Raw genomic sequence first — 27,191 nt, forward strand, 5'->3', positions numbered from 1 at the left:
GGAGGTACTGAGAATAGACTTGAGGGATCACTGAGATTTGCAGGTCAGAAATCCAGAAAGGAGGGTGAGGCCAGAATAATATATATGGTTCTTAGACAGTGAAGCCACAGTCATTAACAAGACCAGAGGATATAACCAGACTTTAGTCATTGCTCCTGTGTGGTTGAGTTCCTTGAGGGCTTTGAAGACACAAAACCATTTTCCCATAAGGCAGATGGATCAAATGAAAGTGCTATCTTTATAAGGAGAGGCCAAATATGAAAGGAGAGGAGTTAGCGGAGCAGAGTCTAGCATAGATTGCTATGGTGATCAGGAAAAAAAAAACAGTAAATAAAGAGTAGGAGGTTTTTGATTAGACAGAGTATTTTCCTTGCAGTGATAATTGGTGGAGAGAACAAAGGTACAGAAGTAAAGGGATGGCAATCACTGAAAATGATTAAAAAGTAACCCACGGTAATTATTTAAAAAGAAAAAACTAGGGCAGAAAACCTTCTGCATTAGAAAATGTATTAAATCAAATGCAGAGGAAGCCACCTAGGCTTTGATAACAAGAATGTTTCTGGAAACATTAGCATAAAGCAAAGGCCAATCAGAACAGTAGTGGAAATCAAGAAGATGATACAACAATGAAGTAATATCAAAAAGGGATTTGATTTTGGGTTTCTCCTTTCTGAAATAGATGAACAATTCCTAAAGTCAGTGATGAAAACAATATTTATTTTAAACATACTCTATTAATATATATCCTTAAATTAACAATTCAGTAAATGCACATATAGGCTACTCACTGTGTTATGGTCTTTCTCAAATAATTTGTTTTCAAAGCCACACACACACAAACAAAAGCCTCCACTGAATTTTCCTTTTTCAAATACACAAAGTTCAGAGCCAACTACTCATGTGCTTAGATAAGAAGGCCACCAATAAATACGTCATCTAATCAGGAACAGTCCTTGATTTTTAAACTTCATGAAAATGTACTCTGATATTCCATTCTGTTTTGAAAAATACATTTGGAACTTATCGTTGCATAAATTTATATGATAAAATAAGAGAATCTTCATTTAGGTGTATTTCTACTTAGGAACACACTTTTAAAGAATGTGCACATTTGAGAAAGATTAACATTTACAACTGAGTGTAGAAAACTACATTTGGTTCCAGAGAAGTACAATCTACACATTACCTGAGATGTAAAGCAGGGGTCTTAAAACCCAAAATGCCTTTATCTTTTAAACTGATTAAAGAAACATATACTCTTGGAAGGCAGAATCACCTACCTGAGAACAATGACAACAGTACCCTTACATTGTGTGGGTTAAAGATCAAACATCTTAACAGATGCAGGTTGTGAATACTATTATCAATACCAAAAGCCAAGTCATTTTTTTTAATTTAGAAAATAATTCACTAAGAATAATTTACTGAAGTAGTAAACCAACATAGTGCTTTATAGTTGGTATACATCATCACAGAAAATTGATATGGTACTAATTTAAATCCTGAAATGTTTTATGTAGCTGAAATTTGGATAAAGCTTAAGAAATGCCATAATAATGATCCACTTAATTAGAGGTCAATTTTCTATGTCCTTAATTAGGCTGGAACCTAGCAATGATACATAAAAAGTATTTTAGTACTGCCATCCCAGAATCCAAAAATTTCCAATTGAGGGTTACATGTTAACATAAACTCAGGCCAGGTGTAACTTAGAACTACTAATTAAATCCAGAATGTTAATTTACTAAGATTGAACCAGAAAATGAGAGGGGGGGAGGAGAGAGAGAGAGAGAGCTAGAAATTGAAACCAACTGACATTGAAAACTAATCAGCAATTTTTAAAGCATTTAAGTAACTGCTAATGGCATTATAACATGGTACATTATGCTTTTAATGAAAAAATGAGTCATTAAAAAAAGTTAAACTATGTTTAGTGTACTATTTATAAAGCTGGGAGAATTATTTCTGAACTAAAAAAGGGTAAAAAGGGTACCTAAAAGAAGTTAACCAATCATCACAAATGATAGGAATTCAACAACTCATACCCGCAGTAACAATATTCTCACCTCTGATTTATTTTTTACTTCATATAAGATACAGTGTAATTCATTTTTACTCTCTCTAGAGGTTTCTCCCATCTAAACAGTACAAATCTTTTATGGACAGAGTACTTTAAAAATCAAAGTGTCAGAGTCTATGATTTGTAGTTTCATGTGAAAATACTAAGTATTCTGGATTCCCCAAGGTTAAATTATATTCAGTATAATTTTTGGTAAAATATATTTTGTATTTTAAGTTTTTGGAAACTGTTTATTCATATATGGTGTACATACATAATAACTAAAAGCAGGAATGTTTTATTTCATTAAGATGTATAGATCTTTTTACCTATCATTTTGGTTAACAAATTTACTTTAGGTTACTAGAACTGGACTCGTTTTAGAATGTTCAAGCACATAGATTAGAAAACCATGGGTCTCTGTATTTATTAAACTGAATCACCTGGCAGTAAAATTCTGTTAAGGCTCTAGGCATTGGTGAAACTTCTTCCCATTCAGACCTGTTGCTGTGGTAGACCTGCACTTCATCTGTGATTTCATCTGGTGCATAATCACCACCTAATATATAAATTTTATCTTCAATTCCAATTGCACCTGCATTAAAGCCTGCACACTCAAAAGATCCTTCGCCTTTCCAAACACAAGTGTCTGGACAAAAACTATAAACCTTATAGGTGGAAAGGTCACATATATACAGTGTACAGTTTACTGGTACAGCTTTAATTAATGTTGCATGAAAAAATTGCCCAAACTCTGCTACTAGTTCAGACCACTGATCAGTTGTAGCATTGTATTTAAAAAAGCAATCAAGTGATGGGTTAAAAGCATCTGTAATCTCTACCTCTGATCCAAGAACATAAATTACATTTTGGCATGTGCTTGCTTCTGGATAGTATATGCCTCTGGGTAATGGGCTAACAGATATCCATTCTTTGGAAAGAGGATTGTAAGATTCAACATCTAAGAGACTTTTAATGTCCCGGGATCCTCTAGTTTTTCCACCTATGACAAATAATCTATCGAGAGCCATAACTGATGTATGCATGGTTCTTGGTGTTTTCATAGTTGATACCAAGAAGAAATCATTTTTCACTGGACAGTAGCACCAGGTTTGATCAGTGGCATCATGATATGACTCGGCAATATGCAGTCGAACCGTTCGACAACATTTCCCTTTGCAACCACCTGTCAAGAATATTTTCTCTCCGTAACTCGAAAGACTAGATCCTGGCAAATCAATCAGGTGTGATTGCGGCAGTATTTTCCATGAATCAGATTTAATGTTATAGCAAAATGTATATTGATTTTCTCCATTTTCCTCAGTTTTGTGAATGAATATGTATTTCTCAGTTGTGGATGGTCGAGCATCAGGGAAGAGTCCACCAGAACCTTGCACACACTTAATTGCATCCATGATTATGTCAAAACAGTTTGTGCTTTTGAGTAAACTCTCTTCATTGAACAGACAGTCCTGAAGTGTCTCCTCAGATAACTGATGTAATCTCACTTTTTCAATCAAATGAGGCAGATACTTTTGCCTTGATTCTAAGTTATGTTTAGTCCAACTAAGGACAACTTTCAGTACCATTTCTTCTTCAGGAACATTTAATTCATCTGATTCCAGACATTTCTGTAGTACTCCAAAATTCATCTCTAAGAAATCACTGGATTTAAATAATAAAGAAAAGTGATGTTGTACAAAGTGTAATGCATGATCAAACAAACTGGTGGAGCCATAGCTATCTGATATAGATAATAACTGTAAACAATTGACAAGATTAATACTTTTTATTAAAAAGTCACTGCAAGCTTTGGATAGGAAGGAAACTTGAAGAAATGATGACAACTGGAAGAACATTTCCACATTATCATCTGTTATTTTTGTTTTTCCAGTATAGGCATAATCGAGAAATGCTTTTACTGCCTTGGAGGACAAATTAGTAATGGTAACACTTCCATCATCTCTTTCTTTCATGTTTACTTCAAACATAGCCCTGCAAAAATAAAGAACACAGAAAAACAGCAAGAATATTTTATTCCATAATTATTTTCAATATTACCTTAAAGAGGTTTCCTTACTCTTGACTTAAATATATTTATAAAAGCATATTTTAATTGCCTCCTAATTAATATCTAGAATAATTATATAATATATTATTTATCTGCCAACAAACATATTACAAAATGCCTATATTACAAAAATGTACATTACAGCTGAGCTATAGCAACTAATAAAAAAAGACTATAAAAAGATTCAAATTTTGTATACTTGTTTATTATTAATACTATTGGGGCAAAATCTTGCTGATGGCCAAATTTCTTTATTTATGGATTAATTAGTAACAGCTGTGCTGGTGATAACTAAAATTACTTAAAATATAATTATTTAGGGCTTAGGATTTAAAAGTGTCTTTCAAATTCATCTTTGATTTCACATTAATGAAACAGAAAAGAGTACAGTAAGATACCTGATGTCTCCAATGACTCTATTGGGTGGGGAAAATTCACCAAATAAGATACATGTCTAAAAAGATATTTTATATAGTTCTTTAGGAGAAGGGGAATGTGATTTCCTAAAACTAAACAATAACAGTGTACCACATCAAGCAAAAAGGTGAAAAAAAGAAAAGTTTGGTAATAGGCACTGAGAGATAGAGATAGGCCCTCAAATTTGAATAATTAGACCAGCTTGAAAGTTCTTCATAATAAGTTTTGTTTTATTGCTACATGGTAAAGTTGACAGAATCTAAGGAACTGAGAATTTCTTTGGCTCAGTTTAGGTAAAAACATAAATTATTTGGAAATGTATGGGCATGGAACAAAATGTATTTTACTATTGCTTCTGGTTTAATAATGATTTGTATTTGTGCCAGTATTGTCCAGGATGTCTTTCTGAGCAGTGTTCCTAGTTGCCCAAAGTATACTAGGGGAAAACCAATTTACTTATCAGAGTCTACTCAAGAAGGTAATGAAATCTATTTAAAAAGTACAACATCCAACTGAAAAATATGAGGGGACTTGCAAAATGTTACACATTACGCAGGGATTTTTAGTAATGTATATCAATAGAAATATTAACCTGTGATAATAATTATATGGATTATTAAGACACCTACAGCAGTTTAGGATAATATTAAGAGTCCATGTAGCCCAGCTGGCTATATGGTCCATAGGGCCCAGCTGCCAGTGTATGTAGCCACTGCCACTTATTAGCTGTGTGGCCTTGGGGAGGTGACTTAACTTTATTGTGCTTCAAATTCTTCATCTGAAAATGCAGGTACTGGTAGTATCTATGTCATTGGGTGCTGAGAAGAATAAATGGGTTAACTGATGCAAAGTATTAGCTTTTATTGGTATCATTATTTTAAAAAATGTTTTCTATCAGATTTGATGTATTTATAATTTACTATCGGCTTCCACATTTTCTTTGAGAAGACACGTGTAAGATTATATTTCTATATTTCATTCTATTAATCTTAGAGTATCCAGTTAACATCTATCTCCAATTTACCATCTTATCATAAAGTATGTATAAAACATGTGTGATTCCTTTTCAATTTCTTGTCTCCAATGACATTCCATCTCAGTAATAATTTTTGTTTTCCAAAAACACTGTAAGAGGGATATTTTCATGCATTGTGCACTTTTCTGACATTTTTATTTTACATTTTCAGTATTCCATTGAGTGAGTTTGATCATATTGTGAATTAGCAGCATTATAGGAGAGTGTAAATTGTCAAATGTCTATTACATATGTACATATTTTAATGTGAATTATGTACTCATTTAATAAAGTACTATATGTAATAAAGGATCTGATATTTTTGTTATTTAAACCAGGTAGAAAACTTTAAAAATACATTGTTCTAACAGTAATTTTAAAAACTAAAAGCAGACCTATAAAAAACTAGCAGTAAGCTGAACAAAGAAATATGTGCAAAAATTATATGTAAATTGAATAAAAAATAGCATCAAGAAGAGTGCAGGTCCATAAATTGAAATGCCTACATAAGAGTATTTTATTAGCATGAAAACATCACAGGGAAATCAAGCTGTGTGTTCACACCAGATTATTTATATTTTTGCTAGGTTTAGAAATAATAATCATAGCAGCTAATATTAACTGAATGTAGTAGGTACGGTGCTAATTATCACTTATATGTTATTTCATTTAAGCAATATAATAATTCTATGAGTTAAGTCCCATTTTTATAATCCTACTTTTTTACAAATAAGGAAACTGAGGCCTGAAGGAGTTAAGTAACTTGCCTAATAAAACATGTCTAGTAAATGGTAGAGCTTGGATTTAGATTTAGGGCATATGTATTAAGAGGCCCACTACTTAACCACTGTACCACACAGCTTCCTGTGATGAAGAGGGGACCTGAAGGATATGGGGGCAGAAAAGAGTTACATGGAAGAAAACTTAGGTTATAAGAGAGGAGGGAAGACACTGGTAGAAATAAGAATGGCAGAGTATAAGACAGTAAGGGCCCCAGGGAAGTTCAAAGAACAACTTTGATTAACTGAGAGAAGAAATAAAAAGAATAGATGAAGACATATAGTCAAATTAGGCAAACAGCTAGTTCAAGACCGTTGTAGCCTCCATGGCCCCAGTAAACTGTGCTGCAGTACTAAGCCATTGCTCCCAATTTCAAAGCAAGAGCCCCTACAGGAACAGGTGTTTAGCAGGAAGTATGTATCAGTAAATGTTTGTTGAATGAAATCTAGCTTGTAAGATTTACTCTAAAGGCAATAAGGATGAGATCTAATTAGATGGTGGTAAAAAAAAATTAAGGGTTAAATTGAGGATTCAAAACAGTATAAATTAACTTGCATATAAAATATGCATCTTAGTATTTCTATATCTTAAACCTTATTTTTTAATCAAGTTTATTGGAGATTTAAACCCTGCTTAATTCAAATTAAAATTGCTTCCACAAATGAACATAATGCAAAATATTGCAATTAGGATTTAAGTTTATTGTAGTATAACTAGGAAGGCTGAAGATCAGGGTTTCACCAAAAGGGGCTTGTCTATTGACCAAGAAGCCTCACAGGATAGTACTACCTTGATACAATTAACACAGTAATTGCAAGGTCATGTGTCTGACCCTTAACTTCGCAGAAATGGAAATCTGCTGTCATCATAGTGATTACTGCAGTGTTATGAATAGGACATTCTCTTTAGGGTGATCTACATGGGAAACCAAATTATATTCAGAAGGTTGCTTAGAATTAGAACAAGCTGAGAGCTTTCAAGAAATGCCTTATAGCTAAGAAGTACTTTTCCCTAATATAAGGAGAGGATGAATTTGCTAAGGAGAGGATAAATTTTTAAATCGGTTAGACCCTCCTCTCCCCGTAATACATGAATACAACACAGGACGGAAATTTTCTTTTCTCGCAGAGTTATTTTCTTCAAATTTTGCTTCCATTTTTGTTCAACCTGTCGTCTTCTTTTTCTAAAATAATACAACACAGGGATCCCCCAAACAAAGCTGACACCATCAAAAAAATTTCTTCTGTCCCAGCGTAGTTCAAGGGATTAATGTTCCAGAGAACTTTGGGAAATGCTGACCTGGGAAGACCTATACGTTAAAAAAAGGTAGTCTTAAATTCTCTCCTACTAAAAAATCACGGCCCAGCGCAGTGGCTCACACCTGTAATCCCAGCACTTTGGGAGGCCGAAGTGGGCGGATCACGAGGTCAGGAGATTGAGACCATCCTGGCTAACACGGTGAAACCCCGTCTCTACTAAAAATACAAAAAATTAGCCGGGTGTGGTGGCGGGCACTAGTCCCAGCTACTTGGGAGGCTGAGGCAGGAGAATGGCTGGAAGCCGGGAGGCGGAGCTTGCAGTGAGCCGAGATCGCACCACTGCACTCCAGCCTGGGCGACAGAGCGAGACTCCCTCTAAAAAAAAAAAAAAATCATTAGTTAATCTTGGTTCTAATTAGGTTTTTTGTTTTTGTTTTTTTGAGATGGAGTCTCGCTCCATTGCCCAGGCTGGAGTGCGGTGGCGCGATCTCAGCTCACCCAACCTCAGCCTCCTGGGTTCAAGCGATTCTTGTGCCTCAGCCTCCTGTATAGCTGGGATTACAGGCGCACGCCATTGCGACCGGCTAATTTTTGTATTTTTAGTAGAGACGGAGTTTCACCATGTTGGCCAGGCTGGTCTTGAAGTCCTGACCTCAGGTGATCCGCCCGCCTTGGCCTCTTAGGGTGTTGGGATTACAGGCGTGAGCCACCGTGCCCAGCCTAATTAGGTTTTGTTTTTGTTTTTTTTTTTAGAATTAAAAATTACTGTTGCATGTTCTTGTGGGGAAAAACTTGAGTGCAGTATAAAATAGAACTTAATTATCCAAATCATAAAATCTGAGGCATAGACAAGGTAAAGTACCTGAAAAAGTCACTGCATGCTGCTAACACACAACGATGACACGGGATTATTTCATCTTTCATAATTATTTTGAAATCATAAAAGACATTTTGTTCTCTAAAATTCTGTAGTACACTTAAGATTTTTTGTCCATGATCTTCTGATACAAGGAAGTTGTTTTTCTTCTCAGATGGAATTCCATTACATGTGCTTCGTTGATTGAAAGCATATGAATTATCCATAGCCAATTCCATATGTCCTTAGAACTAGAATAAAAACAAAATCACCGATGTAGTAGAGACCTAATGCAAGTTTCAGACTCCAAAATTCGCCCTCTTGATGGCAAATACACAAAAATAACCACTAAGAAAAATAATAAGACAGTAAAACTTGTTTTAAACATTTGTTTTCCTGACATTTAATATTAAATTCCTTTTGAATTTTCATAAATGTTGAGCTCATTGGAATAAAAGTATATTTTTCATAAGGGCTAACATTGAAGGCTATATAATTGTGTTAAATAGCAAAATGTACAAGTTGTATAAATAGCTTATATAGGATTTCACTACATGATTAATATTATTACTATACATAAGAGGTATTATTTCTAACATAGTTTTGAGTATATGCCCAACACAATCCCCCTCCTTTCCAATCCATTCTCTTCTGGTAACAAAGTAGCTGTTAAAATGCTGATCTTGGACCATAGACTATATGCCTTCTGAGGTTAGACTTTTACAAGATAATTGGTTGAAAAAGATCAGTGTTAGATTGCATTAATTAGTTATGGCTTTAGTGAAGAAGAAAAAGGCAAGCACTTTTCCAAGTTGGGCTATTTAAAAGTAGAAAGGAAAATCACATATATCTTAATTAAGAAAGATTTTTTAAACATGAGGTCAGAAATCCAAGATAGGTAAAGATCAGATAATTGTGAATATCATGAACTGCAAATTCAGCTCTAAACATAAAAGTTGCATCATCAAAAGCAAGGAAGTGGGAAACAGAAAGGAAAAGAGGATTGGGAACTTGGAGAACCAGAAAAATAGAAAACCTTGATTCGACATTTCTGTTCCAGTTATCACCCTAAAATTAGTGGCTTAAGACAACAATTTATAATCTCTAATGGTCCTGTGAGTTTAGGTGATGATTCTTGCTTGGGAGCTTTCATACAACTACAGGCAAATGGCAGCTGTGGCTGAAGCCATCTGAAGGTCTGACTGGGTTACATGTCCAGTATGGTTTCCTCATTCACGTTTCTTATGATTCAGCTGGGACGGCTAGAAGAGAGGGGATCTTTCTTCCTTTTTTTGTTTTTTTTTTCTGAGAACACTTAAATATTTATTGATTCATTTAAAAAGAAAAAATTTGATATAACTATATTCGATATATCTATTTAATACACATATTCATATATATCCATTTTATATACATACCTATGTATATAACTATATATAACTACAAAAATATATAAATGGATAACTGTAAAATAACTATTTTCCAAAACAAAAAAAAAGTTTCTTGAGAAGGGTTACATTGTTTTATATTTTTGCAAATCTCTTTAACATCTGGCTTAATGGAAGACAACTAGATTCTCATATCTGCTTCTTTATTCAATCTTTTGTGAAGCTGTATACCATGTGGGCACACATTTACAACCATCTGATCTTTGACAAACCTGACAAAAACAAGCAATGGGGAAAGGATTCCCTATATAATAAATGGCCCTGGGAAAACTGGCTAGCTGTATGCAGAAAACTGAAACTGGACCCCTTCCTTACACCTTATACAAAAATTAACTCAAGATGGATTAGAGACTTAAGTGTAAAACCCCAAACCATAAGAGACCTGGAAGAAAACCTAGGCAATACCATTCAGGACATAGGCATGGGCAAAGACTTCATGACTAAAACACCAAAAGCAATTGCAACGAAAGCCAAAATTGACAAATGGGATCTAATTAAACTAAAGAGCTTCTGCATAGCAAAAGAAACTAGCATCAGAGTGAACAGGCAACCTACAGAATGGGAGAAAATTTTTGCAATCTACCCATCTGAAAAAGGTCTAATATCCAGAATCTACAAGGAACTTAAACAAATTTGCAAGAAAAAAACAAACAACCCCATCAAAAAGTGGGCAAAGAATATGACACCTCTCAAAAGAAGGATATGACACTTCTCAAAAGAAGACAGTTATGTGGCCAACAAATATATGAAAAAAATCTCATCCTCACTGATCATTAGGGTTTTCTCTTTCTTAATGCACCCTCTCCAAGTGGCTAGCTGGTGCTTCTTCACAGCATGACAGTCTCAGAGTGGCTGGGCTTCTTGCATGAAGCTTGGTTCTCCCAGAGCGGGTGTTCCAAGAGGCCTAGGTGGAAGCTAGATACTGGAGAAGTAGTCCAAATTGTCCTACAGCATCAATTAAGGCTCCATTCCAGGACCAAGACAATCTACTGTTGTGCTATGCAATACAGTAACCATGAGCCATGTGTAGCTATTTAAATTACTTGTAAGTAAACAAAACTAAAAATTCAGGTCCCTCATTGCTCTAGCCACATTTAAGTGGTCAGTCATATGTGGTGTGATGAGTGACAATTTGTTTGGGACACAGAGTGCCCACATTTTTGGTTAAACATTACTTCTGGGTATGTCTGTGAGAGTGTTCTAGATGAGATTAACATTTGAATTGGTACACTGAGTAAAGCAGATTGTCCTCCCCACTGTAGATGTGCCTCAGCCTGTCTGTTGAAGGTCTGAATAGAACAAAAGGCTGAATAAGAAAGAACTCTTTCTTTCTGCCTGACTTCAAGCTGGAACTCAAACTGGAACTATACCATCAGCTCTCCTAAGTCTCCTGCTTGCTGACTACAAATCTTGGGTCTTCTCAGCCTCCATAATCACATGAGCTAATTCCTTATAGTTTTTCTGTCTGTCTCTCTCCATATATATATATTACAAACACATATACAAGTATATAGTAAAAATACCTATACATATGTATAGTACAAATACATATACATATATGTGTGTGTGTATATATATATCCCTTTAGTTCTGTTTTTCTGAATAAGTCAGATTAATACATCTGCCTAGTGACTACTATATTATACAAAGCAAATATAAAACATTCTCATCATCACAGAAAGTTCCACTGGATAGCCATTACACTGTGTGGAAAAATAGCGTGCCTGTGTGAATGTGTGTGTGGCTGTGGAGGTGTGTATGTGCCTGTGTGTGCAGGAGAAAGTAATAGGTTGTAACTGGCAGTACTGCTGGAAATCTAAGTGACTTGTAGAAATCATTTTGTGTGTAGTGTTCTGAGTAACTATGAATAGGGAGACATATTAAAAATGAGAGTGGGTATCATGGAGGAAGAGAGATAATGAAAGGCTTGGAGGTTATTTCTGAGGAAAAGGAACTAGAGAAAACAAAACCAATGTGATGGATGAAGATGAGGGCAGAGAGAGAGAGCAAGAGAGAGAGACAGTGAAAGATTGATTTATTATAAGCTCATGTGATAATAGAGGCTAAGAAGTCCCAAGATCTACAACTAGTTAGCTGGATACCCAGGAGAGCTGACAGTACAGTTTCAGTACAAGTGCAAAGGCCTGAGAACCACAACAGCCAATGGTGTAAGTTTCAATCCAAAAGCTGGCAAGCATAAGACCCAAGAGGAGTCAGTTTTTCAATTTGAGTCCAATGGCAGGAAAAGACTGATGTATGTCCCAACTCAAATAGGCAGGATAAATTTCCTATTACTCAGTCTTTTATTCTATTCAATTCTTCATTTGATTGGATAAGGCCCACCACACAGGAGAATCTGCTTTACTTGGTCTCCTGATTCACATGTTAATCTCATCCAGAAATATCCTTACAGACACATTCAGAATGTCTGACCAAATGTCTGGGCACCAGATGGCCCAGGCAAGCTTATAAATGAAATTAACTGTCACAACAGTTCAAATCTTGACTTAACAATGTTGATAACATATGACCTAGGACAGAAAAAGAGTATTTCAAATTACAGTGAGGCATAAAGACAATTATATATGGCTAATGTCCCAGAACTAATTCTTTACCTCACAAGGCATCTTCATAAGTCACTTGTAAGACTGTTTTTAAAATTATGCATGTTTTCTCTTCTTTTCTAATATTTATAAAATACACAGATATGAAATATTAGTTTGTATAAAAATCATACATCTTCCCAAGAGTGTGATATAATGTTGTTAAATAAGATGGCTATTAGCCTGAGGTTACCCTCTGTAGCCAGCCCTCTTATGTAAGAGAACTGAAACTTAACTTGGAAACATTTATTGTAACTGACTTAAAAACCAAAAACCAAAAACAAGCCTTAGCCAATCACAAACAGCCAACCAACCTGCTGGTTACAAATAGGGAACTTCCATCAGACAATATCCAAATAAGGCAAATGCCTAGCCATAGTCAATCAGGTAATTTCTCTACTTTGTTTCCATGTTCAACCTATAAAAGCTTGCTGGTCACACTGCTGGAGTGGAGCTCTCTGAACCTCCTTCAGTTTTGAATGCTACCTGATTCATGAATTGTTCTTTGCTCAAACTCCGTTAAATTTTATTTATCTAAAGCTTTTATTTTAACAATGCGAAATGAAAGAAAAAGTAGGGCATTAGAATCAGGCTTGAGTTCCAGTGCTGGTTCAGCATTTACTTGTGACATATTTGAGGTAAATAACTTCTAATTTTTTATTATTTTCATCATTTGTAAACTGCAGATAAACTATATCTATCTAGTTGTGTTGTTGAGAATATTTTAAAAAATACATAATTGGCCGGGTGCAGTGGCTTATGCCTGTAATCCCAGCACTTTGGAAGGCTGAGATGGGCAGATCACATGGTCAAGAGATCGACACCATCCTGGCCAACATGGTGAAACCCCTTCTCTAATAAAAATGCAAAATTTAGCTGGGTGTGGTGGCGCATGCCTGTAGTCCCAGCTACTCGGGAGGCTAAGGCAGGAGAATCGCTTGAACCCGGGAGGTGGAGGTTGCAGTAAGCCGAGATCCTAACACTGCACTCCAGCCTGGTGACAGAGAGAGACTCTGTCTCAAAAAGAAACGTAATTTAGCATATAATGTGTGTAAAATAAGTGGAAGTTAAGGCTTATTTTCTAAGAAACTTAACAGAAAAGACAAGCAAATCATTTCATTGACATTAATCAATAAGTTTACACTTATAAAATGGTGGAGGAAGGGACAAGAGAAGCAGCTCTCTAATAATTCCTAGGGCATAAGAGCGAAGTTGAACACAAGCGCTATCATTGCAAAGGTGTTTAATCTGGAGTGTCAGAATCAAAGGAAATAATAAAGAATTGGTGGGAGATTTGTGCCAGCCTCCCTAACTCCAAGATGATGAAAACAAATGTTTAAAAGAAATAGCCAGGGACCGGGAGTGGTGGCTCACCCCTGTAATCCCAGCACTTTAGGAGGCCGAGGCGGGTGGATCACCTCAGGTCAGGAGTTCAAGACTAGCCTGGCCAAAATGGTGAAACCCCGTCTCTATGAAAATACAAAAATTAGCCGGGCATGATGGCAGCTGCCTGTAATCCCAGCTACTCGAGAGGCTCACCGAGAGGATCGCTTGAGCCTGGGAGGCAGAGGTTGCAGTGGGCCAAGATCATGCCATTGCACTCCAGCCTGGGTGACAGAGTGAGGCTCTGTTTCTAAATAAATAAATAAATATAAAAGGAATAGCCAGGAAGTATTTATACTATGCAAAAGGGCACGCAAAGCAGATAAACAGACAATATGATTGAAAACAGTCTATACTAGTTTGACAGAAATGTGTTAAAGCTGTGCAAAGGATCAAGGTGTCTTCTCAGTGTCACAGTGTAGCCAAGATGTTACTCCTGGTCTCATTCTCCAGTCTAGTGATGAGCTCGGGCATCCATAACCTATAATAGTATTATAGGGAATCTCTATGGCCTGTCTAAAATAACTACAGAATCGGGTGACTCAGTCCAGATTGCCTGGATGCCCCTTGGAATCGCTCTATATTTTCATCCACTAAAAGATATGTATTTAAATCCCTCTAATGTGATAGAAGAAGTTAGACACTGAGGATCAAAAGATAGGTTATCTCCTACAACCTTATATTCCACTGGATTTCTAAAAGTTCTCTGGAAGATTAGAATAATAGATGTTGGCAAGGATATTTGATCAACATGGAACATTCTAAAGCAGTAATTACTACCCCATCCTCCAGGCTATCCAGTAGGGGAGACATGGGGAAAAGGATGTGGGGTAGATACTGAATATTTTTTTCACAATGGTTTTGTTCAAAAATACATAATAATTTTCGTATTTTTAGTAGAGACGGGGTTTCACCATGTTGGCCAAGATGGTCTTGATCTCTTGACCTCGTGATCCGCCCACCTTGGCCTCCCAAAGTGCTGGGACTACAGGCGTGAGCCACCGCGCCCGGCCTGTTTTTGTTCTATACATGATCGATATGTACACATGTTATCTGTGGAGCACTTGCTACATACCCAGTGCTGGTCTAGATGGATTGAAAATATAGTGGAAAATAGAATTTGTGAATGACACAAAGTGAGCAAGGTATATGGTTGAGGAAGAATTCACATGGAACAGTGAGAGAAATGGAGGAAAACCAGGAGAGGCAGTAGAAACTAAGGGAAGAGAATTTCAAGTATGAAGTTGTCACCTATATCATCAAAAGGTGATGGGAAAAAAGTCACTGATAATTTGGGGTAAAATAGGGAGAGAACGGATTAGAGTGGAGTTAAGTGGAAATAATGGGCACAATTTATAGACATTATTCTTTTAAAAAGTTCATCAAGGCTGGGCGCGGTGGCTCATGCCTGTAATCCCAGCACTTTGGGGGGCTGAGGCAGGTGGATCACCAGAGATCAGGAGTTCAAGACCAGCCTGGCCAACACGGTAAAACCCCGTCTCTACTAAAAATACAAAAATTAGCCAGGCATGGTAGTGGGCACCTATAATCCCAGCTACTCAGGAGGCTCAGGCAGGAGAATCGCTTGAACCCAGGAGGCAGAGGTTGCAGTAAGCTGAGATCACACCACTGCACTCCAGCCTGGATGACAGAGCAAGACTGTCTCAAAAAAAAAAAAAAAAAAAAAATCATCAGGTGGGGCCTAGAGGAGCATGTAGATACCAGGAAATTTTGTTTTGCTTTGGTATAGATGGGAGAAACTTGTGCATGTTAATAAACTGAAAACAAAGGGCATATATGGAGGGAAATTTTGACAATGATCACAACAATCTAAATTCAATATCTACATCCACATCATACAGCAAAATGTTTTGGACCTTTAAACCAATAAATTGGAGAACAATACTATACAGCAAAACTTCTATTTCTGTTGACAGGTAAACACTGATAGGCAAACAAATGGTTCCGTTTCTAGCCATTTATTTGTTGTTTAGTTGTTTAGTGATATAATAAGAATGAAGGTACCGGGATTTATCAAAAATAATTTATACAGTTATTTCATCCAACACTCATAATAATCCTTTAAGATTGGTATTAATAATTACTTTTTCAAACAGCAAATTGAGGCTCAGAGATTAAATAACATGCCTAAAAACATAAAACTAGTAGAAACATGCTTATTCCACTAAATGTCCATGTTATTTCCAAAATGAATCATTCTGACCCTGGATTTTAATATCAAATGAAAGCTCAGAAAGCAATTTTAGTGCTCTTTAGATCCAACTATAAATGTACTTGTCAAAAGTTACCACAGCAATTTAAGATCATTCTTAATAAGGATGACATACATGATAATACCAGCTAATATTTGGTGAGCCAGTAAGCTGTGCCACAGAGTTCACATAGTATTTGATTTGATTCTTAAAAATATAATCCCTATTAAAAAAAAAAAAAACAAAAAGACTCTGCTTCCAGTAAGGTTTAGATGTATCTTTCCCTATTTCTCCTGCTAAGTACAAAAAAAACAAAAACAACAACAACAACAATAACGAAAAACCCTGGAGGTATATATAAATATAAATAAACATATATATACATACATATGAAGACAAATAAATGAAGATGATGAAAAGTGGAAAGATGAAATCAGACTGACTAGTGATCTGAGGAACAACATACTGGTGAGTTCCCTGGGTTTTCCTTTTGCCTAGTATGTTCTAGATCCTACAAAAGCTGCAACCCTGATACACCAGTGGGCACACACATAAACAGCCTCCAAACTGCCCTCTTTAATCACAGAACCAGAAAAGGAGCAACCTAACAAGACAAAAGTTTTAAGGAAATAACCACTCCACCAGAGCAGAAGACCACACAAAAAAATTCTGGCTCTATACCCACCCAAGCCTGCAAAGGTACAACGGAGAGCCTAGAATTTCACTAATGACAGGCTATAATGAGGTGCTTCTATCGTTCTCCTCCTACTAGAATGATATTGGAGAAGGCTAAATAATCACTAAAACATCTATGCAGGCCAGGCATGGTGGCTCACACGTGTAATCCCAACACTTGGGGAGGCCGAGGAGGGCAGATTACCTGAGGTCAGGAGTTCAAGACCATCTTGGCCAACATGGTGAAACACCTCTCTACTAAAAATACAAAAATTAGCTGGGTGTGGTGGCAGGCACCTGGAGTGGTAGGCTCCCAGCTACTCAGGAGGCTGAGGCAGAAGAATTGCTTGAACCCGGGAGGCAGAGGTTGCAGTGAGCCGAGATCGTGCCACTGCACTACAGCCTGGGAGACAAGAGCAAAACTCCGTCAAAAAAAAAAAAGGTCTATTCAAAGAGATAACGTTCATAAGTCACTATAGCTAAATCAAAATTAAATTCTAAAAAAAGTTCAAGTAAGCCACAGGAGACAGACAGAAAAAACAGAAATAAAAACAGAATAAACAGAAAACAGAAAATAAATTACAGACTTCAATACTGACGTTGCAATAATTGCACTAAATGTAAGTGGTCTACATATACCAATTAAAAGATAGATTACCAGAGAAGATTAAAAAGTGACCCAACTTTATGCTTCCTACAAGTAAATTCACTTCAAATATAATAAGTAGGTTGAAAGTAAAAGGATAGGAAAAGATATACTATGCAAGCATTAATTAAAATAAAGCAGGCATGGCAATATAATTACAAGATAAAGTAGACTTGAGGAAGGGAAAGGAATATTATGTAATGCCCATCCACCACCGAGAAGACTAGCAGTCAAAAATATATATGCACCAAATGATAGAGCTGTAAAATATGTGAAGCAAAAACTGATAAAACTGAAAAAAAAATAGACAAATCCACTATTATAGCTGGAGACTTCAACACTCTTCTCTCTAAAATTAATAGAACTAGACAAGAAGTCAGTAAGCATATAGAGCTCAACAACACCATCAATCAACAGAATCTAATCAACATTTATAGAAAACTCCACCTAACAACAGCAGACTACATATTCTTTCACCACGATGAAATCAAACTAAAAATCAATAACAAAAAGATAACATAAACATCTCCACACACTTGGAAACATAATAACACACTTCTAAATAATCCATGGATCAAAGAGAAAGTTTCAAGTGTAATTTAAAACATACATTGAACTGAAGAAAATCTAAAATACAATATATCAAAATGTGTATGATGCAGCTAAAATAGTGTGAGAGGAAAATTTTTAGCATTAAGTGCTTACATTACTACAACTCACCCAATATGAAATATATAATTTGAACAGCCCTGTAACCATTAAGGAGATTAAATTTACCAAAAGTTTAAAGAAGAATTAATACCAGTTCTACACAACTTCTTCAAGAAAACAGAAGCAGAAGGAAGACTCCCAACTAATTTTATGAAGTGAGTATTACTGTGGTACTCCAGACAAAGACGGTACCCAAAACAAACAAACAAAAACCAAAATCCCACACTATGGACCAATATACCTCACAAATATAGATGCAAAAATTGTTTAAAAAATATTAGCAAAAAATCAGCAATATATAAAAGGAATTATACACTATGGCTAAGTAAGTTTATCTAAGGATGTAAGGCTGTTTCAATATTTGAATACCGATTAGTGTAATTTATCCTATTAGGCAGCTAAAGAAGAAAAAACACAAGACCATATCAACTGATGCATAAAAAGCATTTGAAAAAATACAACACCCAGTTATGGGGAAAACTCTTAGGAAAAGAGAAAGAGAGGGGAAAAGTTCCCCCTTCTCAACTTGGTAGAGAAAAATCTACAAAAAACCTATAGATAACATTATGCTAAATTATGGAATGCCTTCCCCCTAAGATGAGGAAAACAGCAAGGATGTCCACCCTTACCACTGCTATTCATCATAGTTCACACTTATTTAGAAGTATATTATTCAGTTTCCAAGTGCATGTAAGCTCTAGCAAGCACACTAAAACAAGAAAATTCAATAAAAGGCATATACATCGGAAAGGAAGAAACAAAACTGCCTCTATTTGCAAATTCCAAGATAGTCCATGTAGAAACTCCAAAGGAATCTACCAGAAAAAAACCTCATAGAACGAATCAGCAAGTTCAGCAATGCCACAGGACACAAGAGCATCACACGAAAATCAATCATATTTCTATATACCAGCAATAAACACATAGAAACAAAAATTAAAACAAAAACAAAAATTAAAAGTATAATAGTTCAAAAAAAAAAGAAGTGAAAGAAATACTTACGTATAAATCTAACAAAACATGCACAGGACTTGTATGCTGAAAAATATAAAATGCTAAAAAAAAAAATAAAAGAAGACTAAAATGGAAAGACATGCCATGTCTGCAAATTGGAAAAGTCAACTTAATAAAGATGTCCCCTTAATTTCCTCCAAACTGATATAAAGGTTTAACACATTTTTTATCAAAATCCTGGCACAATTTTTTGTATATACAGATGAGATTACTGTAAAATTTATATGTAATGATAAAGAAAATAGAATATCTAATACAACCAAAAAGAATAATAATGAGGGAAGTATCAGTCTACCTGATTTCAAGACTTACTATAGCTATGGTAATCAATACTGTGTAATATTAGTGAAAGGAGAGACACATAGATCAGTGGAATGCAATACACAATTGAGAAGTAGCCCCATACAGTACAGCCAAGTGACTTTTGACAAAGGTACAAATGCAATTCAATGGAAGAAAAAGAATCTTTTTTAACAAAAAATGCTGAAGAAAATGGATATCCACAGGCAACAAAAAAATGAACCTTGACCTATACTTCATACTTTATGTAAAAATTAACTCAAAACGGTCATAGATTTAAATGTAAAATATAAAACTTTTAGAGGCAAATACAGAAGAAAATCCTTGCAACCAGGGTCTCATTAATGAGCTCTTAGACATCAAAAGCATAACACATAAATGAAAAAAATTAATAGATTGGATTTTATATCAAAATTATATTTTTCCTCTGTGAAAGTCCCTTTATTTAAGAGGATGAAAAGACAAGCTATGAGCCAGGAAAAAAATATTTGCAAACTGAATCTAATAAAGAAATAATCTATAAAGAAATCTGAAAACTTACCAGTAAAAACACCAGACAATTCAATTTAAAAAATGCGCAAAAGGCACAAAGAGATATTTCACCAAAGAGAATATACAGATGGCAAATAAGCACATGAAAAGATGTTCAACATCATTAGTCATTATGGAAATGGAAATTAAGACTGCAATAAATATCCCTAACCATCTATCAAAATAGCTAAAATAAAATATAATGACAACACCAAATGCTTGAGGGCTTGCAGAGACACTGGATCACCCATACATTGCTGGTGGAAATAGTTTGGCAGTTTCTTAAAAAAACTAAACATACACATACCATATTACCCAAGAATCATGCTGCTGACCATTAGAAATAAAAGCTTGTGTGTGTGCAATAGCCTCTACATGTTTCATAATGCTTCATTTGTATAGCCAAAAGCTGAGGACAACCAAAATGTTGCACAATAGGTGAAAGAGTAAACAAATCATGGTACATCCATACCGTGGAATACTACTCGCCATTAAAAATGGATGAAGTGTTGATACACATAATTTAGATAGGTTACAGGAATCTACACGTGAGAAAATTACAAGAAACTACACACACACATTGTACTAATGTCAAATTCCTGGTTTTGATCTTTTACTAGAATTATGTATGCACCCATATGGGGAAACAGGGTGAAGGGTACATGGAAACTCTATCTTTACAACTTCTTGTGTAATTATTTTAAGATATTAAAAGATAACAAAAGATCAATCAATTCAGAAACTATTTTGATGTTCCAGCTTTCTTCTTGCTCAAAACATAGAAAATGCAAATAAAACATAATTATTTAATTGGTATAAAATCATTCCTCTGTATTGTAAAATAAGTCGGAAATAAAACAGTAAAAAGGTGACTAAAGGAGATACTTCCAAAAGAATAAAAACTGTATTTCTGCATAGTGGCATAGGTCCTGAGAATATCAATTTTTAAAACTCTAACCACAAACACTTTTTAATTAACTTTACTGTCATGAAAATCATGTATGTAATTTAGATCTTGTGTTGGATTAAGTCAATTATTGAGCCTCATGGTTCATGAATAAGTGGACCACATGATGTAAACACAAAGTTATTTTTATTTCTATAAATAGTAACAAAAACAAGTTTTACTTGAAAATTTCAACTATCCTAAAATAATATAAAGAATCACAGATAGCTATTCACTTTTATAACACTGTTTTTAAAAAAAGTCTGCCATGTATATTCTATACAGAATGACAAATCTAAGGAGCTGAAAATTTCTATTTCTTAAATTTCATTTGAGTAAATCCTACTTGTATAAGTGTATTTTGCAAATAACAAAGAATATGACATTTGCAACTAGAGAAATAGTCCTAAATGGTTCATCACTTATTAGTGACTCCTACTTAGGCTCTCTGAGGCTTTGGCTTCCTCATCTGCAAAGTGGACACACCTATGACACTGGACTGTTGTGAGACTTAAATGATACAATGAATATTAAGTTAATATCGTCAAATTATATGTAAATATTAATGATTAAAATCAATAACATTATTAACAGTTAAACAATTCTCAATTCTTGGCAAAAGATTTATAAGGCAATTATTTTTCTTCAAATATTCTTCAAATTCAATTATGCTATTTCATTGATTTTAAGACACAAATTTTTTCACACTTATCTGAAACTGACAGGCATCTTAAAATCACTCTGGTTGGGTAGTAGTCATGACATATTTGTCATTACATGTGTATTAAATTTGAAGAATGGATATCAGTGTGTTGGAAGAAAACCTTGGAGATAATAATGGACATTGATTTAAGAAATGATATATCACTAATGCTCTAAACAGAGAATGATATTATGAAAATAAAACATGGACACAGAGACTCTGAGTTGAAAATCAATGAAAAGACACTTTGAATGTTAAGAAGTTTTAGGAATGCCTCAGCCAATGAATTTTGCTCATATTGTTCTTTGTATGTAGGTGCAAGGGTGTTATATGATTTTTTTAAAAGGGGGCTCTTTGCATGAGTAGAAAAAATTCTTAGTGATAAAGAGTTGTGCCATAGTTGGCATTTTTTTTCTTAGTAGTATATAAAATAGTGTACTTTTAAGATTACACCCCAGCTTCAATGAAACACCTTCCTGCCCAAAACACTGACTCAATTTTTAAAATGATTGTTATTCTTTTTTTTAAAAGCCTTCCATTAAAATTTGATTTAAAGAATTGAATGAATAAAGGTAGAAGAGTCAAGCCTAAGAACCAAGCCTTTGATAAAAAGTAATGACAAAAATCATATGCCACTTGATAAAAGCAGAACGTTAAACTAAAGCTGTGCTCTGCCTGATCTGGGCTTTGATTTCACTGGGTCCTACAGTGATCTTAGTTTCGTCACTGATGTTTCAATATACAGCATGATTTCTGGCCTATTTTAGTAAATATTTATTATAGATGCTAAGTATATGACAAGCACCGAATTAGGCACTAGAGATATAAAGAGAATAAAAGACAGACATGGTCCCTGCTTTTTCCTTGTCCAGTATCTGGTGAAAATGACATAATAAATAAAGTAGGCAAATAAATAATTATACATTTTTATAAGTACTGTGAAGACACAAGTAGGAAGTGGAAATAAAAATGAACAATGGGGCATTCAATTTCAGACAATAACAAAAGGGGTAACAGGGAACACTTATACAGTGCTTATAATGTGCCATGCTTTGTACTATATTTTTTGTTTGTTTTTTTGAGACAGGGTCTTGCTGTGTCACCCAGGATGGACTGCAGTGGCAAGATCACAGCTCACTGAAGCCTCAACCTCCTGGGCTCAAGCAGTCCTCCCACTTCATCCTCCTGAGTAGCTGGGATTTACAGGCGTGCATTAGCACACTCAGCTTTTTTTTTTTTTTTTTTTTTAATTTAGAGATGGGATCTCACTATGTTACCCAAGTTGGTCTCAAACTCCTGGCCTTAAGTGATCCTCATGCCTCAGCCTCCCAAAGTGCTGTTGACTACAGGCATGAGCCACCATGCCTGGTCCCATGCTATATGTTTTACACATACTCTTTTAATCTTCAAAAAAAAAACTGGATAAAGGAGATACTTATCTTCATTTTACAAACAGAGAAAACAGGCTTTGATAATTTAAGTAATTTGGCTAAGATCATATAGCAAGTAAGCAGGGAGTTGGTATGTGAACTCAGTTTGGCTCAAGAGCCCTTGCTTTCAGCCACTACAATATTAGGGAAAGCCTTTCTGAAGTGTCATTTGAGAATTGAATGATAAGAAGGTAAGGGGTTGGTGGAAGAAATCACATATAAAGCCCTACAGGGGTAAAGGAGTCCTTCAGTTTTAGGAAATTAAAGGCGGCCAGTGTGGCTGGAGTAGTTAATGAAAGGAAGAGGGTTAGGAGATAGGGCTGCAGAAGGCAGTTGCTACCTCAGTCAGGATGCTATGGGTCACAGGAGCTGGGATTTTATTCTAAGTGAAATAGGAACGACTGATTACTTTAAATTGGACAGTGACATGACATCATTTTTTTAAAAAATATTTTTCTAGCTAATATGTCAAGAATGAATTGAAAGGAGGTAAGAGAAGTAGGGTCCAAGTCATTCATTTATTCAACAAATATTAGACAGTTTATGGAGTAACAAATATTGTGGCAGGTACTATTCTAGATACTAGAAATACAGCGAAAAACAACATAGACAAGGTCCTCTACCCTGGAGTCTACTTTAGAATGCCGAACACCCCCCCCCACACACATACCCCTTCCTTCTCATACATTAAGAGCTTCTCCCACCCTACTAGACATTTTCCATTAGCATGCAAATTCTAGTATCTTCCATCTTTAAACAAACATCAAACAAAAATCTGTCCTTTGACCTTTTATTCCCTCTAGCTACCATTCCATTTTTCTACTTCCTAAATCCAGAAAAACTTCTTTAAAGGACACTCTGTGGTAGCATCACCTCCAGTTATCGTCTCAACCCACTACAATAAAATTCCTTTCTTTTACTCCATTAAAACTGCCCTTGTCAATGTCACCACACTACCATCTTGAAGGTAAATTCTCACTTCTCTCTCCTCATCTTATTTCACCTCTTAGGATAATTCACACTGTTAACTAGTCCTTGAAACACTCGTCTTTTAGTTTCTGTGCCACAACATTCTTCAGGTTTCCTACCTTGCTGGCCTCTCCTTCTCAGTCTAATTAGAGGGCAATGTAACATAAGAATTAAGGGCATAGATTTCTAGATTTAGCTCTGAAAGCAAGTTGTGCTTATGGCATAGAAGACATTGGAAGAGAGTGCTCCCCTTTCTCAGGCAGGCTAGAAAACTGATTAGTATTTCAGATGAAAAATGATGGTGGGTTATACTAGATTGTTAACAGTGGGAATAAAGAGAAATAAATGGATTTTTCTGTATTTTAGAAATAGAGCCAAAAACACTTGGAGATGGATTGGATATAGGGAGTCAAAGAAGAGCAGCATCATGGTTTCTTCCTTGAGAAACTGGTAGAATTATGGAGCTATTCAAATAAGTCTTGGGGGAAAAAAGAAGGGTTTGAGGTAGAATAAAGTTTGTGACCCAATAAAAAGTTAGTGAGTATATCTAAAAAACACCTAGACTTAGAGATGATCTCATCCGATGCCTTTCCATTGAAATTAATACATGGAAGAGGTTATGTCACACATAGGATCCTGTGTGACCAATGTCACACAGACAATTGGTGGTAGAGCTGGAAATAGAATACGAGTCCCTCAGAATCCTGCTAAGAAGCCACAGATCAGCACCAAGCAAGATGATCATTACAGACTGAGTGAGCCCCTATTACTTTAGTCCTCTTCTTCCCCTGACCAATGCAGTAAAAAATATTTTAATAAAATTGTTGGGTTCATTTAATATAGTTAAGCAAGTTATGAACTGCATATTTATATTTCCTTAATAAAAGTGAGGGAAGTAAAGGCAGATAGAATATAAAAAGCAGTGTTACCCTTGACAGTAATAAATCTATTGTGGAGTCATTAATAACATTTACTCATGTATACTATTTGTAAAAGGTATACATGACATTCCCTCTCAAGTACTGTACATTCTATTTTGCAAGATAACACACATGAAAATAATTCAGGACAATAGGAGAGACGTCATAAGGCAATACTAGAATAACTGCCAAATGAATTACATAAACAATACTGTTTTGGAAAAAGGTACTCTGAAGTAGGCCCTAAGAGAAGGTTTAAGCTAAGCTCTGGAGAATTTGTAAAACCACACAGGGAAGGGGATTAAACAAACCTATAAAATATGTTCACAGGGTGATAGGTTTGGGGCTGAGGTTTGGAAGTGGAGAGAGTAAGCTATTTTAGACTAGGTGAACAGAGACATTCTGTTTGGTATGAGATTTGGGCCTGAATGATACAGAGGAAACAAGGAATGTGATAATGGGAGAAGGGGAGAATATTCTAGATTCTAGACCAAGTACAAATAATCCCTACGTTACTGTCTGTGTATTAGGCTCCATAGATCTAATACACAGAGATCTTGCTCGATGGTAAAATAATGGGATATGAATTCCTGAATTTAAACAAATTCTCTTTCTGAGCTCATTGTCTCCATCAGTAATAACTAGTGCACAGAACATGTGCAATAACGTACACAGAAGTGTTTTGGAAACAGAAACGTAATGTATCAAAGTTATAAAAATCAGTTTAAAACGACAAGAAGGAAAGGTTATATGATTCTTAGTTAAAAATGGAGAAGTGAGTTATGATCATTGCTGATATGGGTATTAGTATCACTTACGTATCTTTACACTGTCTCTTATTGTACTTTTTATGCGTATGATTTATTTGCCTTACCAGATTGTAAGCTCCCTGCAGCTGGTAAGCAGATTTTCAACATGGCAGCTGACACAGGCTTTTGGTTAGCTAAGATGATATATTAAGCCAATAATTCGTTTTACTGTCCTTTGGGGATCTGAATTTGTGTGTGTGTGTGCTCAGAATCCCATCTACTTTCGAGGGATTCGGGGGGCTTATGATATCACGAAAAGTTAATGAAGACAAGTATAGATAAAAACATAATAGAACCCATCTTAAATAGGACAGAAATCATAGGCAGGTAATTGTGTTAATTACTACCGCTGGCCTTTGGCTGATATTTCCGGGCAGTCAGAGGAAGAAGGAAATCGGCTGAATCCCGCAGTACCGCACTTTAATCGACCTCCAGGTAGTCATTTACAGTCATCTGCAGAGACCAACTTTTCCCTGGACCAAAACCTGCAGGGCACTTGGATCGCGTGGGCTTTCATACGAGAGTCAACAACAGCCTACACGGAACAACTAAGGAAACAGACATACATCAATATGACCCTTCGCAAAGTCTGAGAAAATAACTGAGCAAAGTTATTTACTTGTTTCTGTTGCTGTTAGAGCAAGGACCTCTGTCATGATGGAAACACTGATACCTCAACAATGGAATCCTGTTTTCTCGCTAGTGCTCTAGCCCAGGCTTGGCAATAGCAAAACAGCACCTGGGTCGCTTCATCGCCCCAAATAAACAGCCAGCATTAGCTCAGCTGCTCGCTGGCAGCCTCGGATCCAGGCGGGGTCAGTGTTGCGCACTGGGGATAGTGCCTCTGCTCGGCCTTCGGAGGGAGGGTTTCAGGTAGGCTGCTGCTAAGGGTCGGGAGCGTACTGTGTGAGGGTGGGTCTTAGGCTGATGCGGATGGGGGCAGGGAAAGAAGGAACTCAGGGCTGATGCGTTGCACAACTGCAGGGGGCACCACTGCAGACCCCCTCCTAGAGATGGAAACCTCTCGTGCCCCGTACACGAAGCAGCTGAAGCCAAGGACATTCTCTTCTCTGTGGGTCACAGGGGCCAACTCAGACCCTGAGAATAAGGGCTACCATCCCACTCCTCCCTCAGACCCCGGAGCTCACCCACCTGCAACTGCAGTCTCCGAAGTCTCCACCCCAGTCTCCCTGCCTCCAGAGGACTGGTTGCGATTGGCCTGCACCGCTGTCCCGTTAACTCTTCCGCAAGTGTGAGTGGCGTAACTGTCGGGCTCTTGGCCTTGGTCCCGCCCTTCGCTCGCCTCCGAAGCCTCGCCTACTTGACGTCATACAATGCCGCAAAGCGCAGGGCTGATCTCCGTCTCCGCCCCCAGCTGCTTTCTCCGAGAGGAGGTGGCTGAGTCGGGGGCGGGCTGGGAGGGCTGTCGGTGG

The 27,191-nt window shown here is 36.2% G+C and overlaps 1 protein-coding gene across 5 annotated transcripts, besides 2 other annotated features; it reads right to left on the reverse strand.

Annotated features, from left to right (window-relative positions):
• Nucleotides 1-696: 696 nt before the first annotated feature.
• KBTBD3 (kelch repeat and BTB domain containing 3) lies at nt 697-26,946 on the reverse strand. 5 transcript variants are annotated; one of them, NM_198439.3, is made up of 4 exons: nt 26,911-26,946; nt 26,106-26,306; nt 8,464-8,708; nt 697-4,054 (listed from the first exon to the last, which is right to left on the reverse strand). In NM_198439.3, exons 3-4 carry the CDS (start codon nt 8,694-8,696, stop codon nt 2,449-2,451), a joined length of 1,839 nt encoding a protein of 612 aa, NP_940841.1. In that variant the 5' UTR covers nt 8,697-8,708; nt 26,106-26,306; nt 26,911-26,946; the 3' UTR covers nt 697-2,448. The 5 variants fall into 5 exon arrangements, with proteins under 5 accessions (NP_940841.1, XP_006718830.1, NP_689646.2 ...); XM_006718767.4 differs by having other exon boundaries at nt 26,103-26,306; NM_152433.4 differs by lacking the exon at nt 26,106-26,306.
• Nucleotides 26,739-26,858: an enhancer, noted in NCBI's record as "active region_5465". NCBI's record gives its function as "activates an Ori minimal core promoter by ATAC-STARR-seq in GM12878 lymphoblastoid cells {active_cell/tissue: GM12878}" and the evidence as "EXISTENCE:reporter gene assay evidence [ECO:0000049][PMID:35858748]".
• Nucleotides 26,869-26,978: an enhancer, noted in NCBI's record as "active region_5466". NCBI's record gives its function as "activates an Ori minimal core promoter by ATAC-STARR-seq in GM12878 lymphoblastoid cells {active_cell/tissue: GM12878}" and the evidence as "EXISTENCE:reporter gene assay evidence [ECO:0000049][PMID:35858748]".

This window comes from Homo sapiens, chromosome 11, assembly GCF_000001405.40.
Source record: "Homo sapiens chromosome 11, GRCh38.p14 Primary Assembly".
Lineage (NCBI taxonomy): Eukaryota > Metazoa > Chordata > Mammalia > Primates > Hominidae > Homo > Homo sapiens.